Genomic DNA, 18,937 nt, shown 5'->3' with positions numbered 1-18,937 from the left:
GTTGGGTGGTTACAACTGTAATTAATAGACCAATCTGTGGCCCACATGAGATCCACCTGAAAGAATTCTTGCCCAGCTCTGTGCCTTCTTCCTAAGATGTGGCACCCAGAATGGCACCAAACATGCCTAGTGAGGTTTGGATCAAGAGTAAGCTGGCTTCTCTGCTATGTTTTCAGTAGCCTTCCTGAAAACACCCAGCATTTGTTTAGCTTCTTTAGCTTTAGCACGTGTTTCCACCAGTGTCCCTTAACGGAGAGGATGACTATGTCACTGAAGAAGTGGAGGGGCTGAAAATGGACTCAGCTCTTGGCCCCTGTAGAGACTGCAAGACTCCGTGCACAACGTGACAGTCGGGGCTTCCTCTGAGCACTGCGCCGTTCAGCCCTATTGCGCAACCTGCCACGCCCTGTTACTGTAAATGGAACACCGGCTGTGAGCTGGTCAAGGCCCTGCCATGACAAGGCCACTTGCATAGGACTCCAAATTAAAAAAAAAAAAAAGGCCTTTCTTATTGACTGAAAAACTGGTTGTGTTTTTCATATTTTTCACTTTCTGGAGCTGAATTATTAATAGGCAAAAATTAGGTGGGGCTTCATTGATATTCTCACCAGCTTTTACAAACCAAGAATCGGAAAGTGTGCCTCGGTGAGTTGCCTTTTGTTAGCAGTGTGGAGATGCAGGCAAAAGTGATCAGCGTGGTTTGTATTTGCAGCCGCCCCTCCCCTCTCTTCAGAGTCTCTCCTTCCCGGCTGCAAGGTGCGTCTTTAATGTGCGACACTGACAAGGCGTTTCAGCCATGCAGCTAATTAATATCATGCCGAGGCTCAATGTGACAGGTCCTTCAGACTCATAAATCAGAAACCACTAACAAATGTCGTTCCTTTTCTGATCTCTTTCTCTTGCTTTTTAATATGTTGATTTACTTTCAGTATGCATAACCAAAAAAGAAACAAACCAATAAAAATACTGATGAAAATGCCGGGTGCCATGGCTTGAATGCGTTTTAGACTTTCCAAGCCAGCAAGACAACAGCCAGGAAAACAGCAAAGAAAAAAAAATCACCCTTGCCTTTCAGGGTATGGACATAGGAGGAAAACAAAACATCAGATAGTGGTCTATCCTTTAGAGACTATGAGTCACTCCCCAGGGGCTGTATCAAAACAGACCTAGTTACCTGGAGAATACAAAAAATGGCCTGGCCAAAGTTCAAACACTAGACTGACCAAACAAAAGGATTCCCAGGGAAGAGGCGCTAATCAAAGCTCTGACAGCACGCAGCCCTGATGAAAAACGACTGTGGAGAATTCCCATTAAGGATATTTGAAACCACAGTTCTTATCTTTCCCTCCTTCCCCTTCTCTCAGCTGGGGACCTGCAGACTATCTTTTCCCTCCAATCTTATCCATGTACCGGAGACAGACTGTGTTCACTTAGGTCAAATGTGGTCAGGGTGGAGGGGTCAGGTTACAGCTCCCAGCTAATGAAAAAACTGTAGCTTCAAAGTTGCCTGGTTTGCCAGTTCTCTCAAGAAGATCCACATCCAGTAAAAATAATTCTTAAATTTACCCTACTGATGGGAGCACCTGGAAAAAAGGATTTTTTTTTTTAAGCCTGAATATCAAGTTTGAAAAAAGCCAATTATTAGCAGCCTGGAAGAATGCTTTACAAGATCTTGAAGAAAGATAGACTTAAAGAAAATAGTGGAATATTTTTTCATTAATTCATAGCCACAATAGTCCTATTCTTAGAGAGCTTTCTTTTCACAGCCATACTGATTTTTCAAACACTAATTTCCTCTTACTAGTTCTGCTCCTTGTGGAATTTATTAAAGAAAAGAAGAGTAGAGTCTTCTATTTATTGTGTGGTTGCCAGATAAAGTATCTAAACATAAAAATTAAAAAATTGCTTAGATTACATAGACACAGGCACTTAAATTTTAAAAGATAATGTTTAAAAAGATAAAGTTATCAGTTATATTCATGGGAATGAACATTAAGCATTCATCAAAAAGATTTTAAGAAATAACTGGGAGTAAGGGGGAATAAGAATATAAAATTAAAAAGTATTTCTCAGAAAAGCATAGCACAGCATGTCTGTAATAGAAGGAAGCAAAATAAAATGTTACACATTTTAAATCAAGAAAGTTATCAAAATGTCTAAATCCCTGCCCTAAATCACTGAAATGATTATGTACATCCATTCTGTCTCCCTCAATGGAGAACACTTGCAAATACATAGGTCCTTTAAAATGCTTTGGTGAGGATGGATATGGTAACATTGTGTCAGAGGCGTGTGAACCAGAGCACTTCCATCTTGAACAGGGGCTGGGTGAAATATGGCTGAAACCTACTGAGCTGCATTCCCAGAAGGTGAAGCCATTGTAAGCCACAGAATGAGCTAGAAGGTCAGCACAAGATACAGGTCATAAAGACCTTGCTGATAAAACAGCTTGCAGTAAAGAAGCTGGCCAAAACCCACCAAAGCCAAGATGGTGAGGACAGTGACCTCTGGTCATCCTCACTGCTATACTCCCACCAGCACCATCACAGTTGACAGATGCCCTGGCATTGTCAGGAAGTTACTCTATATGGTCTAAAAAGGGGAGGCACTAATAATCCACCCCCTGTTTAGCATATCATCACAAAATAACCACAAAAATGGGCAACCAGCAACCCTCAAGGGTTATTCTTTTATTCTTCTACTTTCTTAATAAACTTGCTTTCACTTTACTCTATGGACTTGTCCTGAATTCTTTCTTGCACGAGATCCAAGAACCCTCTCTCGGGGTCTGGATCAGGACCTTCTTCCTGTAACAATTGGGTGGACTAGGTTATGCTGCAATAACAAGCAACCCCAAAGTCATGGTGACTTAAACCACAAAGATTATTTTTTGCTCCTGTTATATGTCAATCAAGATTCAGCAGGGCTGTTTTGTTCATCACACTCGAAGAATACAGGCTGATGCCAATGCTGGCTCAAGAGAGACCTGGGGAGTCTCTTCCCAGACCTGGGAAGATCATGATCTTCTCAGAAGTGGGAAGGGACACAGACCTGTTCCATTCACACTTCATGAACCAAGTCATGGCCAATCCTAAACATCAGAGTGTGGAAAGTGCAGTCCAACATGAGGAATATCTTATGGAGTGGGCAATATTGATGTCTGTCTGGAATGTTTGCATTGGTTCTTTTTCATCTGTGTTTTGACTTTCTTCTAACAGGTGTTGGCCTGTTTACAGATGCCAATAAAATGCTTCTTTGAATGTAACTTCTTCCTTTTGGAATTCCAGGCATCTTGCTATCTGTAGAAATCTCTTGGACTAATAACAGGGTATTGACAATGGATTTCAACGCATAATGCCTAAAGGCAGGTGCAAATTTGAAATTCCCAAGTCCTTGTTTGTCCTGGAAGTCAAGCCTCTTGCAAAGTTAAACGATTTCAGTTTTTTCTCTTCCTGTTTTTTTCCTGTTTCTTTCCTCTAATCATCTTTATCTCCCAGATCTTGTCCCATGGCCCCTGTTTTACTGACTAAAACAGAACTTGGTCTGAACTTTTAAAACATATTCTCCAAGGCTTCCAGCATACCATTTCTGCCATATTTTCAAGATCAATTGTGGATGACCGTAATAGAGCCAGACTCTGGCACCAATGCACAGAGGAAAGAGTTTACAAATATTTATAAAGAAAAATGATTGAAACTAATTTTTTTTGTCAAAATGAAATTCAAGATGAAGACTACACCCTTCCTTTTAATCAGAAGGTGCACGAGGTTTAGGAGAATGCAATGAGAAATGAAATTCACAGGACTTGCTGGCTTCTAATCTTCCTTAAAAAATAAGAAAATTAAAAAGGGAAATTTAGGCTTTTTATCAGGCCAATTCAGATATGTTTTTGAGACATGATATAATAGTAAATCACAGTATAACATTTACATTAACAGGCTCTTGAAAATAATTGTTATTGTAAAAACGATACATTTATTGTAGATAATTAGGGAAATAATGAAAGGTATAAAAAAAAAAAGAATCAGCCATAATTTTAGCCTCTAGAAATAATAATTGCAAGCATTTTGTGTTGTCCTCCCAGCATTTTCCCTGTCTCTGCAGTTTTTTTATACAATTAAAAAATATACTGCAAAGGGTATAACTATCGGTCCACAAATTCAGACATACTTGAAATATTAATTTCCTTCATTTTTTAAGGCTCAAGCTGATTTCTTTCTTCTTTTTCTTCCCCCCTTTTTTAGAGACAGGGTCTTCCTCTGTCGCCCAGGCTAGAGCACAGTGGCATGATCACAGCTCACTGCAGCCTCAAACTTCTGGGTTTAAACAATCCTCTTGTCCCAGCCTCCTGTGTAGCTAGGACTACAGGTCCATGCTGCCATGCCAGGCCAATTTTTTAATTTTTATTTTTGTAGGGACAGGGTCTCATTATGTTCCTCAGACTGGTCTCAAACTCGTGGTCTCAAGTGATCCTCCCTCCTTGACCTCCGAAAGTGCTGGGATTACAGGCATGAGCCACCATGCCCCATATAGATTAGTTTCTATTTTAAGACCTCACTTTGCCTGGGAACTGAAATTTAATCTTGGTCAATGTCAGCCAAGTTCCTTCTTTCTGGAGGTTTGTCTAAATTGACAGGGGCTGGGGTAATGGAGGACCAAGGCACGGGAAGGAGTGTACTCCATCCTTGAACAATCATTTACAAATGTATCTGCAAAGTTTCTTCTTCCTGTTTGCATTTTTTTCTTTAGTTCCTAAGCCTCTGCCTAGGAAACAAGGTCACAGGACCAAGCAAACTATAGCTCTCTTATTGAGGAACTCCCAATTTCTTCTGTCCTAAATCCAGTGGTACCTTTTTTTTTCCAAGTACATGAACATGCAAGTTATCTACCTATTACCTTTCTGCTCCACATCCACCCTTTCTGTGCCGTGCTCTGTGATTCTGGGACTGAGATTCTGGAAACTATTTTCCAGGCTCCTTTGCTGGCTGACTTTCTGCTAATTCTGCAGCTGGATGCAGCAGAAGAGGATGGAAGGCAGAAGGAAGGGAAAAGTGGCTTCCTTCCCGATTACTGCCAGTCCTGTCAGTGTTGCCCAAGACTGCCAATTTGTTCCACCAGCAGCAGTGCCTTCGGACTTCTGCCTCAGTGTTTTCCAGCAGTCCCAGTGAGAGGTGACAACGCGCTAGCAGCCCTCACTTACTCTTGGCGCCTCCTGGGCCTCGGCGTCCACTCTGGCTGCGCTTGAGGAGCCCTTCAGCCCGCGGCTGCACTGTGGGAGCCCCTCTCTGGGCTGGCTGAGGCCGGAGCCAGCTCCCTCTGCTTGTGGGGAGGTGAGGAGGGAGAGGCGCGGGCAGGAACCGGGACTGCCTGCTGCGCTCGCTGGCCAGCGCAAGTTCCGGGTGGGCGTGGGCTTGGCAGGCCCCGCACTCTGAGCAGTCAGCCGTCGCCGCCGGCCCCGGGCAGTGAGGGGCTTAGCACCCAGGCCAGCAGCTGCGGAAGGTGCGGTGGGTCCCCCGGCACTGCCGGCCCGCCCACGCTGCTCTCGAATTCTCTCCAGGCTTCAGCCGCCTCCCCGCGGGGCAGGGCTTGAACTGTCAGGGAATGCAGCCCAGTAGGTCTCAGCCTCATTTTACCCAGCCCCTACTCAAGATGGAGTTGTTCTGATTCAAACGCCTCTGACACTAGCACCTGCTACATCAGGGTCCCTCAGAAGAGAAGAGCCATCCACGGCTGGGGAGGCGGCAGGAGCACTACCTCCACGAGGTCCTCTGCTGGAGCTTCTAGGGTCTACTAAGCCCCACTTTCTCCCCATTGCTGTCCCTCCCCATGAGCCATCCAGTTGGAAGCTGCCTGTTATTTCCTCCAGATTATTCCCTCAAAGCCTACTTTTGCTCTTTTAGCCCTCCAACACCTAGAGAGCCAATTTCCAAAATTAAACCCACTCTATTGAAATACCTAGTGAGATTTAGAATTTCCTCAAGAGATCTGACTGACACTTGGAGGCGGGATTCTTGATGTTTTTCCTCAGAGGAAATCCCTCAATCAGTGATGTTTGCATCCCAGGCATCTGGCCTGAGCTCTTGAAAGGATTCACGCAGGTGAAAACACAAAAGCTAGTGACTCCTCTGCGATCTGTTTCCTGCCCAGTCTCATAATGCTCTTCTCCTGCCATTATAAACACAGAACTGGGCTACGTGCTTGAATGGAGGAGGGGAGGCGGTGATAGAAAAAGGGGAAAATCATTACTATCGCAAAAGTGCAATATAATTACCGTACTTTATATAAATATTGCATTTAAAATGTTTTCACAAGCATCCTTATATTCCCTTTCTCTGCTAAGCCCTGCCCAAATTGCAGATTGGTGGACAACATAAATATTGTTGTTGTTGTAAGTCGGTAAGTTTTGGAGTAACTTTTTTTTTTTTCTTTTTTGAGATAGGATCTTGCTCTGTCTCTCAGGCTGGAGTGCAGGCGTGTGAGTACGGCTCACTGCAGTCTCAACCGCCTGGGCTCAAGCGATTCTCCCTTTTTGGCCTCCCGAACAGTTGGGACCACAGGCATGTGCCAACACATCTGGCTAATTTTTTAATTTTTTGTAGAGATGGGGTCTTGCCACATCACCCAGGCTGGTGGTGAGCTCCTGGGCTCAAAGCAATTCTCTCACCTTGGCCTTTCAAAGTGCTGGGACTATAGGTATCAGCCACCACACCCAGCCTGGAGTACTTTTTTACACACCTACATTGTCTAGTACTGACCCTGTCGTGTGTGTGTGTGTGTGTGTGTGTGTGTGTGTGTGTGTGTGTGTGGTATGTTTATAAAAACAGATAACTTGCATTATTCTGACATGTCTTGGTTTTTCAAAGGTTAGAAGAATCTTGGTCGTCCAGAAAGCTTGCTATAGCTGCCCAGCATTTGCCTCCTCCACAAAGAAGGACCAAAAGAACAAGTAGACAATCACATGCCAAATAAAATGTCTAAAGGAGAGCACTGAAGCTCAGCAAAAACGTTACAAAGACCCTCTGAGGTGCAGAAACTCGGGATGGCAGCACAAAGAGGAAAGCAAAGCAGCCGGTCAGGATCAGCTCACAGTCAAGGGCGCCCCGCCTTGAGTAGGAAATGTAAGCAGGAGATGCCCTGCAGGCAACATTCCCACCACAAATGCCTGCAAGCCTAGCTGTAGGAGAGCCTCGCAGTGTTGAGCCCAGTGCGGGAGCTGCCTGGAGTCTCTGTGACTACATTACTCCAGAGAGGCCACTGGGTCCCTCCTTAGTCCCTGGGACCCAAGCCGCTGCAGCACAGTATCATTTTGAGGACAGAGCCACTGCCAGAATGCTTCCTGTCCTGGGGCCCGGTAACCCCTGCATGTCCTCATCACTGGAGCCCCAATATCATTCCACAGTTGTATGAGGAGTAAAAATAACTATAAATAAAGATAACTCAAGAATTCTATAAGCAAGCATACACATGAAATTCATTTTATAAGAGGAAAGCTAACTCCATCTCTCTTGAAATATGGAATAGGTTCTTGAAGCAATTCTAAATGCTGATCTGCTGGAATGATGGCTTCATTGCACAAGAATTCTGCTTAGTTCATTGAAGTCTCCTTGAAGAAGTCAGTCTGAGAATGGGGGAATTCCGTTGTTGGTCAGAAGAATTCTTTGGTCACTATTGGAAGTGGGTTCAGTTTAGGGTGACTATTGATCAACAGGGTTCATGGGTTTGCTAAAACTCATTTCAGGCAAGCTTTGGAAGTGCAGTTCGCTTGGTGCTTATGGGGTTAAAAACAGGAGGAAGAGAATTTCACATTATTGGAGGGCCTGAAAGGAAACTGATTCCCGCAAGATGCTCAGACAAGATCAAACCCAGCCCCTTTTCTGGTTTGGAATTTCTCTGGGCTATAAAGGTAGAAGAAAAGGCCCTGCATGGGCCCACTCTAAGTGCTTGGAGGTTTTAGATAATTTTATTAAATTGTAGAATCTTAAACAGAACTACAAGGTTGCTTTTAAAACCAGATCTCAGATTTCTTTGAGCTAACAAATGGTAAAATGTATCTTTAGTATTAGAGTGAGATAAAGGTAGTTATAACTTTTTTTTTTACTTATTTTATGTTAACGTATGCAACAAAGGGTACAAATTGTAGGTACGCAGCTCATTGAACTTTTATGTCTGCACATGCCTATGAAACCAACACCCAGAGTAAGATGCGGATAATTTTCTGCTCCCCTGAAAATTCCCTTGTGCCTTTTCCTCATCAGTACCTCCAAAGGTAACCACTATTTTGATTTCCATTACCATAGATGAGTTATACTTGTTTTTGAAAAGATTATTTGAAATGTGTAATATAAATAATAGCGGTTGCTTATCTTACAGAAATATCACTGAGAATTCATTTCTTCTCTCCTTCATTTATTCATTTGTTCAAAACACTGTCTAGTACCAACATTGTCCACCGGGCGTTGAGAATACAATATTGAAGAAGAGTCACTGCCTGCCCTCTGGAAAAATCAGAGTATTTGAAAGAATACACACAAGTAAACAGGCAGCTATGGCAAAGTGGGTAAAAGCTGCAAAACAGGGAAGTTTCGCCAAGTGTCAGATGCCAAGAAGTGTCAGATGCCAAGAAGAAAGGGTGCATGACATAGACTTGGGGGGGTCAGTAGTGGTTTCTGGAACGAGTGACATTTAGACTGAAACTGGAAGGATATGAGTAAGGGCTAATCGGACCAAGATGAAGAGATACAGAAGCAGAAGGAACAGTAGGAACAAATGCTCAGAGGCAAAAGAAAGCTTTGAATATTTGAGGAACTGAAAAGCAAAACAACAAAAAATAGCCATCCCTTGACTAGACAAGTGACCTGGGGTCAGATCCTGAAGGGCTTTGCAGATCACTTTTCCGCTTGTAGACTTTGTACTTGACTTTAAGGGCCATGGAGAGCCACTGAAGCATTTTCAGCAAGGGACTGTCATCAGCAGATTGGTATTTGTTTTGAAGTAGCACATGTAAGAGAAAATAACAATATGGACAAATAAAGAGTTTGAAAAACAACTTTGCTTTGATACTTTAGGATGAAATATCTGAGATAGCAGCGCCCCCCCCCCCATCAGCCATTTTTAATGACACTACTATTTGAGCACAAGTTGCAAGAAAATTTGCAACAAATAGGCTTTTTCTGTAGAACACAAAGCAGGGATGTTTGAACGATGCATTATTTGAATTCCATCTTAGTAGGAAGCCATCCATAATAGGAGGAAGTTGAGGAATAGGCCTAATGTTCACAGTGGCACAGGTGGCGTTTGCATCTGCCTTCAATGTTCCTATGATACGAATCCTCCACTGCAGAAAATTCCTCGTGGAATTTTCTATTTTATGTGTTAAACTTTATCGAAATCTTTTCCTGATGTTTATATTTCTGTGATAATCATTATTAAACTGAAAAATGCGGAAGAAAAGTCTCAAAACCATCTTCACTGACCTCTCTAATTTCCACGTCCCCTTCTTTGAAACCTGTACTTTAATTAATGGTCTGGATAATTCTTTCAAACATCTGCCCTGTTTGCCTACTGCTTGAGTTACCCAAATGGATGTCTAAGCTGATGCTATTTAACTAGTCACCGAATTCCCACTCTACCATGTCATGTAGACACAGTTTAAGTAAAGTGCATGCTTTGCCTTCTTCACTGTGATAAATTGAAATGCAATGTTTTCATCAATATAGCGTTTATTCCCCTCTTTCTTACTTGAATGGAATCCATTTTTAAGCTTTTTGATTTTTTTTGTCATAAAAAAAGCACATAACATTCTTCATAATAGTATTGTTATTCAACTTTTTGTCATGGTTGAAATATTAATGCAATACTGAAGTGTCTATAAACCAGATTTATTTATTACCACACTGACAAAAAGTACAACTAACAGTTGGCAGGTAGATAACATCAGAAAAATCCATGCTATGAAAAGGAATTTTAGTATGAACTCATCAAAGTAACTAGTAATTTTTAACAGACTCTAGTGACATATATGCCTCTCTCTCTAACTCAATTATAAACCCTTTGAGGGCAAGTGTTATGAGTGAGTTGTGTTCCTCCAAAATTCATATGTTGAAGTCCTAACCTCTAGTACCTCAGAATATGACCTTATTTGGAAATAGGGTCATTGCAGGCCAGGTGTCATGGCTCACACCTGCAACCCCAGAGCACTTTGGGAGGCTGAGATGGGTAAATCACTTGAGGTCAGGAGTTTGAGACTAGCCTGGCCAACATGGCGAAACCCTGTCTCTACTAAAAATACAAAAAAAATTAGCCAGGTGTGGTGGTGTGCAGCTGTAATCACAGCTACTCAGAAGGCTGAGGCAGGAGAATCGCTTAAACCCAGAAAGTGGAGGTTGCAGTGAGCTGAGATCGTGCCTTTGCACTTCAGCCTAGGTGACAGAGTGAGACTCCATCTCAAAAAAAAAAAAAAAAAATAAAAAGTGGAAATAGGCACATTGCAGATATAATTAGTTGAGTTAAGATGAGGTCATACTGGAATAGAGTGGGTCCTAAATCTAATATGATAGGTGTCCTTAAAAAAATAAAGGAGGGGAGTTTGAACATATGCAGGCACACAGGGAGAATGCTGCATGAAGCTTGGTGTTATGCTGCCACAAGCCAAGGGACTACCAGAAGCTAGGAGAGTGGTTTGGAACAGATTCTTCCCTAGTGCCTTCGGAGGCAGCATGGCCATGCCAACACCTGGATTTTGGACTTCTGGTCCTCAGAACTGTTACACAATCTATTTCTGCTGTTCTAAGCCACCCAGTTTGTGGTACTTTGTTATGGGAGCCCTAGAAAATGAATACAGCAAAGATTACACTCACTCATTTTGTATGCCCTACAGAGGCTCATGAATGTTGGCTGAATTCAAGTTGCAACTATAGACCCCAGCTACTTGGGAATGTGCTAGGATTGATTTCCAACGGCTTGCACCTAGAGCAGACAGGCACCTGATCACAGTGTCCATCCACTCCCTACCCCACCTCCACTCTGAAAGAGGATGACAAAGAAGCTTCTTGATGCACCAGAGGGATCCTCACCCAGATGAGGCTGAAGCATCCACAGCATGCTTCACAAGGATACAGCGGCATGCTTCACAAGGATACTCAGGCCTAGATATCTCACCCCACTCAAATCTTCTCCTGTTCTCCGGTTCTTGTAGACATGTGTGAGGGTCAGACAACTTCTTTACCAGCATTCAAGGAATGTCTCCTAAGTCTATCTTTCACTTAATCATACTGTAGTGCATCGTGACTCATGAGCATAAGTTAAAACTTGTCGTAAGTGAAATTCCACTTTGATTGAAGGAGGAGTAGACTAGCAGTGAATGGCCTGGGAATATACTAGAGACAACTACATAGCACTACTTTTCACCTTTTGTTTTTGTTTCCACTGAATATGACACAGGCGTTGCTTAGATTAGCTTTGACTCAGCTGTGCACCCCAAAGAATAAGTCATTGTCTTATCTATTCCCACACCGAAGTTGCCACTCAGTTTTAAAGTTGGTAGTTTCTTCAAATATATATATATATTTGAATCAAAGATATATATATTTGATTCAAAGATATATATATATTTGATTCAAATATACATTAAATATATATATTTGATTCAAATATACATTAAATATATATATTTGATTCAAATATACATTAAATATATATATTTGATTCAAATATACATTAAATATATATATTTGATTCAAATATACATTAAATATATATATTTGATTCAAATATACATTAAATATATATATTTGATTCAAATATACATTAAATATATATATTTGATTCAAATATACATTAAATATATATATTTGATTCAAATATACATTAAATATATATATTTGATTCAAATATACATTAAATATATATATTTGATTCAAATATACATTAAATATATATATTTGATTCAAATATACATTAAATATATATATTTGATTCAAATATACATTAAATATATATATTTGATTCAAATATACATTAAATATATATTTGAATCAAATATACATTAAATATATATATTTGAATCAAATATACATTAAATATATATATTTGATTCAAATATACATTAAATATATATATTTGAATCAAATATACATTAAATATATATATTTGATTCAAATATACATTAAATATATATATTTGATTCAAATATACATTAAATATATATATTTGATTCAAATATACATTAAATATATATATTTGAATCAAATATATATATTAAATATATTTGAATCAAATATATATTAAATATATATATTTGAACATATATACATGCATATGTGTGCATATATTCATATGTTGAACATATGTTTACATATGTGCATATACTTTGAGCATGTGACATAAAGTGTGTGAAGTACACAAATCTTAAGTCTGCAACTCAAAGACTTTTTATGTATAGATACAGTTGTGTCATGACCCAGATCATCAAGATCTAGAACATTTCCAGCACTCCAGAAGATTTCCCTGTGTTCCTCCCCAGGCCTTTGCATGTATAATATTTAATAAACCTCAAATTCCTTTCTCCTAACCCTGCTGACAAAAAAAAAAATGTTTTCTGCACTAAAACTCTGTGGCAGTTCACAAGGAATGTAAAATCTGGCTCAAAGCTTACTCTGCTGCCTTTGTATTGTCTGCAAAGAGCAGAGTTTGCAAACTGGCTGCCTGTGGGTGAAATCTGCTCCACATATGGTTTGTTTGGACTGAAATATGTCTTCAAAAAATGAGCCAAAATTTTAGGTTTAAGGCATTTTACATGATAACCCAAATTCAGAGGGAGGAGCGATCCTTCTCTTTAAAAATTGGAAAATGTCTTACATCCTCTGTCTCGGAAAAAAATCACCTGGAGCTGAGTAGTAATTGCCTGCTTGAAATGGGTAGAGTCAAGGAGCTCTACCTCTCTCCATCACGTATGCAATGTCTGCATGAGCATGCCTGCCTGCTGCCCTCATGCGTGTATATTACCTGCTTGGTCCTTGGGCCAGCCACAGCTAGACAAGATGGGAAATGTAAAGCAGACTTCTAAAGGAGACTGTTTATTCCCTGCAAAGGGAAAAGTACTCCCAACATATTTTTAAGGGAAAGTAGAAAATAGAATTGGATTTTAAATTAATACACCATTTTGTATAACTTTGTAGTGATTTGCTTTCTGAACTTGCCTATTGTATTAGGGTTCTCTTAGAGGGACAGAACAAATAGGATATATGTATATGTGTGTGTGTGTGTGTGTGTGTGTTATATAACTCCCATATATAACATATATATAAACTCCCATATGTGTTATATATATGTGTTATATATATAACACATATATATACATATGGGTATGTGTATATATACACATATATATACATATGGGTATGTGTATATATACACATATATATACACATATACACATACACACACACACACACATATATATATATAAACCCTTGGAGGGCAAGTGTTATGGGTGAGTTGTGTTCCTCCAAAATTCATATGTTGAAGTCCTAACCTCTAGTACCTCAGAATATGACTGAAACTGGTTATATGTATATATATATACACACACATATATGTGTATATATGTATATATGTGTATATATGTATATATGTGTATATATGTATATGTATGTGTATATGTGTGTGTATATATATATACACACACACACACACACACACATATATGTGGGAGTTTATTAAGTATTAACTTACACAATCACAAGGTCCCACAACAGGCTGTCTGCAAGCTGAGGAGAAAGGAGAGCCAGTCTGAGTCCCAAAACTGAAGAACCTGGAGTCCGTTGTTTGATGGCAGGAAGCATTCAGCATGGGAGAAAGATGTAGGTGGGGAGGCTAAGTCCGTCTTTCCTTTTCATGTTTTTCTGCCTGCTTTATATTTGCTGGCAGCTGATTAGATTGTGCCCACTAGATTAAGGGTGGCTCTGCCTTCCCCAGCTCACTGACTCAAATGTTAATCTCTTTTGGCAACACCCTCACAGACACAACCAGGATCAATATTTTCTATCCCTCAATCCACTCAAGTTGACACTAAATATTAACCATCACACCTATTACTTATTATATACCATTTTAAGTAGCTTTACATGGACACTTTTGCATGCATGCATGCACACACACACACAAACACACACCCACACACACACACATCCACCCCAATATTAATATCTAACATCTGGACGCTGGCTAATGTTTAATTTTTAATGTAACCATTATGCTGGAAGGCATTCATTTGTGGTGTAACCACAGCTTCAATTCTGGTGTTATATCTTTTCTACTTAACTAGTTTCATTAGATTTCGAACTGAAGAGTAAATTAACTCATCTTTTATGACCCTTTATATTGCAAGGTGAACTTGAATCATCTTATTAGATCCATGTTAGACATATGCTTGGTGTTGAACATTATCTGTACATATATATGAAAATCTTTATGATGGCATTTGAAAGTAGGACATAAACATTGTCTCTCATAAAAACCTAGGCACTTCTAAGTTTCATTATAAAAGTTCCTCATTCAAAAACAGTATAAAAGAGAATTGCCATTTTAAAGGAAAACTACATGAAATGTAAGTTTTGAATGAAGAGTTCCTTGGCTTTGCTTTTCTTCTGAGCAACGCTTCTCCTTTTATGTTTTGCACAAGCTCATAACAATTTTTCTTACAATCTTCTAGACTGTAATATCACTACTTTCCATTTTTCCTACAAGGTAAGCACCCATACCGTCAATATATCTTAACATCAAGGGCTTGTGAGCAGTTTCTTTCTGATATGTCAAATTATTTGTAACCCACTTCATAGTGATCAGAGATGGTTAATTGGTAAAACTGATTAATAGAGATAAAAAGCATAGCAGTAAAAAAAAATAACATGGAGGAAATACAAATGGATTATTCATTTAGGATTTATTTAACTGTATTTGGAATTGTCATTTTGCACACACATATAAACACATGTGCACACCCACAGTGGTTTTAAAATCTATATGAAAGGTCTTATGTCATTTTACTATATCCTGAAAAATACTTGCTAAGTCAGTTTATAAGTACAACCATTGTTATTCAAACTCTTGAGTTATTACATGTTAAAATGACTTTATTTATTTACTTAGAGATAGAGTCTTGCTCTGTCACCCAGGCTGGAGAGCAGTGGCATGATCTTGGCTCACTCTAATGTCCACCTCCCAGGTTCAAGCTACTCTATTGCCTCAGCCTCCCATGTAGCTGGGATTATAGGAATGCAGCACCATGCCAGCTAATTTTTATATTTTTAGTAGAGACAGGGTTTCACCATGTTGGCCAGGCTGGTCATGAACTCCTGACCTCAAATAATCTGCCTGCCTCAGCCTTCCAAAGTGCTGGGATTATAGGTGTGAGCTACCACGCCTGGCCAAATGACATTTTTTTGAAAATAAAATTTTTAATAGCAGTATTAAATGTGATTTTGATCCTATTAGTTAGGTTTAGGGGAGGGAAGGCCCAGGTTTAGAGGAAGAGAAGGCAATTAGTGAGATGCATGCAAGGCCTTTAAGTCACAGACTCTAGAGGTAGATTTATTTATTATGGCACAGCCAAGCCAAAAGGTACATGCCCTTGAAATTATGTCAGAAGTCTTGAACACATCAATCTGCCCTCAATTTTTCTTTCCACACTAGTATGAATTTCACAGTAAGAATATCCTTCAACCCCTCTAGCCTCCTTCCCTATTCTCCACTCCTCTTTACAGCAACCGCCTCCAATAAGTTGTCCACACCAGCTGTTGCAACTTCTCTTTTCCTCTTCAACCCACTTCTGTTGGGCCTTAATCCTGGCCCACTCAATGAAACAGTTCTCAAATTCTCTGATGCAAAAGCCAATGATGAAGTCTTGCTGCCATTCCCTTCTGGAATTACTTTTCTTGACTTCCATCCACCACACTCTTCTAGTGTTCCTCCTACTGCAACCGCCTCTCCTTCTTAGTCTCCTTTGATTAATTCTCCTCCTGTTCTGAACCTCCCAACAGAGCAAGGCTTAGTCTTCAGACTTTGATACCCTGCCCCATGTCCCCAGGTCCACTTCTCTGCTTCTCTGCCTAAAAGCTTCCTCCAGCTCCTTCGGAGCCTCAAAGTAGCAGCTGCTTAAGACCCTCAGGAGCATCCTTCAACTGGTGAATTTAGGAATTGGTGGATAAACACTGAAAGTTCTTATCTCTTGGCAGGACAATTCTCCAGGGTGCTCTACACAGTTCCTCAGAGGGTACCCAGTGGAACTGAACTCCAGTTTCTCTAAGTAGTAACCAGTTTATCAATGCCCCCTGTATTCCTTTTATTGGTTTGCTTCCTTTCCTTGTTTCACTTCCCCTCTTCCTCACCTGTGTTTCCCGCCACTCAGTTAAATTAAAGTCATTCAACACCTTATATTAGGATTGTTTTCAGGAGAACTCAGAACTGAGATAGAACTTTTAGTGATGCTGACTCCTTTGGTGATTGGAAGTTTCTAGTCCTGATTCTTTAAATTTTGGCATACTTTGATAACTCCCAAATGTATGCACGAGCCAGGTCCTCTCTCATGAATCTGAGACTAGCATTTCTGACCTCCAGCCAGACATCTTTACTTGGATATCTGATAGGCAGCTCAATCTTAAACTCTTTTCTTCCTCTAAATATGCCTCTCCTTTATCTTCCTAGTCCTGGTAAATAGTGTCCCATCTTTCAAGTGGCTCAGGTCAAACTTGGGAGCCATCCTTAACTTCTATGCCTCTCTGATATCACACATCTGATCGCTCAAAGCGTTTCTACTTTCTCAATATATCAGGAAACTGACCGGGTTTAAAAAAAATCTCTTTCACCACTATTGTCCTGGCCCCACGACCGTCATTTCTCACCTGTGTTATTCATTACAGTAGCCTCCTAACGGCTCTACTGGCTTCCATACTACATAGTCCCCTACAGTTTGCTCAGTACATAGCAGCTAGGATGATCCTGTTGAAACCATGTCATACTGTGTGACTCTTCAGCTAAAAACCCTGCAGAAGCTGCCCATTCCACACCTGGAATAGTAGCTAAAAACCTCATGATGGCCTACAAGACCGTCCATGACCTGGGCTCCTCATGCCTCTGACTTCACCACCTACCACTTTCCCTCCTGATGTTTCAACCACACTGACCCCTTGTTTTTCCTTGAACTCAACAAGCACACTCACATTTCACATCCAGTGAGGGTATTATTTCACAAAACCTTCGTTTCAGCCAAGATGTGTGTGCCTGGATGTGTTGGGGTCTACATTACATGTATTTCTTACTTTGGGTCATGCTTTTAAAAACATTTGAAAAATAGTAGCTTAAACATTCATCTGAATCACGTTGCCCTCGCTGATGAAGGATTGAAAGCTCCATTCATTTATGCATTCCATATTCTCTGCAGTAATCTTTCTAGTATGTGTAATACTGTTGCACACCAAAAAAAAAAAAACAACAAAACATAATGTAAGTTTTTCAACTCCTAAGACATGAGGTTGTAATTAATTAGGCTGTTTAGATTATGGGGCACAGCCAGCTTCCCTTGGAGGTCTTTATTTATTGGGTAAAGGGACTTTACAGAGGATTTTCTCAAAATTGTATAAAAATTTAAGTTAGCATCTTTTGTCACTGAGAAAGTAGGTATGTACTGATATTGGCACATGGCCATTTAGAGAACCAGTAGCAGAGATTAGTTGAAGACATTTAGAGAAAATGACTTTCCTAATTAGAGAAAACATAAAAACTCAAGTAGTACTTAAAACTTTCCACTTTGATCATCATCCTGAAATAAGGAACTTTATTTTATTTTCTTTATGTACTTTTATTTAATCCACTCTCAGAATTTACTTGTGATTTTTATAATGGTATCCTTACAAATTGCACAATAAGAAAGTGATCAGAAAAATCCCATCCAAAAAATGGAAATAAACTAATGATTTGAACAGTGTTAGAAGGGAGGCTGAGCCTAGATGTTGGATGTGGGTTGAGTATAACAGGAAAAAAAAAAAAAAAGCTGCAGGAAATCAGAATGAGAGCAGACATCAGAAGTTGAAGTAGGAAGAAAGTGATTAAACATTCTGCAGGATAATTTTGGTACCATCTTGGAGTTCAGTTGATATAAATAAATATGAGAGCCTTCAGTAATTATTATTATCATCATTACTGTACTCTTCCAGGAAATTATAGCTTATTTAGTTCTTTATTCTTCATATTAATGAAGTGAAGTTTCATGACAACCCACTAAGAAAATAAAAAAGAAAATAATAAATCAGCCTGCGATTCTTAAAAGCTTAATGAAATCCAAACACTTCCCAATGGAAGATGACTCAGTGACACAGAATTGGCAGTAGTTTGTAGTTAGATCATTGGTTTTTATTGGAATATTTCCGATTTTAAGGAGGCATCTGTAGAACCTTCCTTCCTCTCATAGTCTGCTTGGATTTATTTAAAGAGACCTGGATTTGAGTCATCAACTGGAAAAAAACAGTAGAAATATCCCTTAATTGCTTAACTACATTTTTCCAATGGGTGTTAAATTATGGTAGTTTGAATTTAAAATACAGACTAGTCCCATTCAAACAGCTTTTTTGGCACTAATAAAAAGGAGGATGAACAGCCCACCAATCTCAAACCTCTGTAAGGGGTGCACAACAAGATTTGTAATTACGACTTTGCCATCCCCAGAGTTTGGTGAAGAAAATGTTACCTTTGCGTACATGCTCATTTTATCCCCTTGTCCTGGCTGCTCTTTAGGAAATGAAAGCTTTGAAAATGGGCTGCTAGTGCTTCTACATCTGGAAATATCTTCAAATGGGCAACACCTTGTCTGTTTGAGGGGATTTTTCTCTGTTAGCTGGCCCATTAGTGAGTCAGAAATAACTCTGGCTCTATGCAGGTGGTGGAC

General features: G+C 39.8%; 2 long non-coding RNA genes across 5 annotated transcripts in view, besides 1 other annotated feature; one reads left to right on the top strand and one right to left on the bottom strand.

The window, feature by feature from the left end:
* LINC00607 (long intergenic non-protein coding RNA 607) overlaps nt 1-9,044 on the top strand; it is a 231,974-nt gene extending 222,930 nt beyond the window's left edge. The window contains exons 9-10 of the long non-coding RNA NR_037195.1: nt 4,973-5,330; nt 6,869-9,044. This is a non-coding gene — a long non-coding RNA (long intergenic non-protein coding RNA 607). The remainder of the gene's footprint in view (nt 1-4,972; nt 5,331-6,868) is intronic.
* The window catches only part of LOC102724861 (uncharacterized), a 168,179-nt gene that overhangs the window by 93,780 nt on the left and 55,462 nt on the right, over nt 1-18,937 (bottom strand). The gene's annotated exons all lie outside the window — the stretch shown is intronic.
* Nucleotides 227-521: an enhancer, noted in NCBI's record as "tiled region #4559; HepG2 Activating non-DNase unmatched - State 5:Enh, and K562 Activating DNase matched - State 5:Enh". NCBI's record gives its function as "activates a minimal TATA promoter and a strong SV40 promoter by Sharpr-MPRA in HepG2 and K562 cells {active_cell/tissue: HepG2 | K562}" and the evidence as "EXISTENCE:reporter gene assay evidence [ECO:0000049][PMID:27701403]".

This window comes from Homo sapiens, chromosome 2, assembly GCF_000001405.40.
Source record: "Homo sapiens chromosome 2, GRCh38.p14 Primary Assembly".
Classification (NCBI taxonomy): Eukaryota; Metazoa; Chordata; class Mammalia; order Primates; family Hominidae; genus Homo; species Homo sapiens.
The sequence above is the reverse complement of the archived record's forward strand: the minus strand, read 5'-3'. Positions and strand labels throughout refer to the sequence as shown.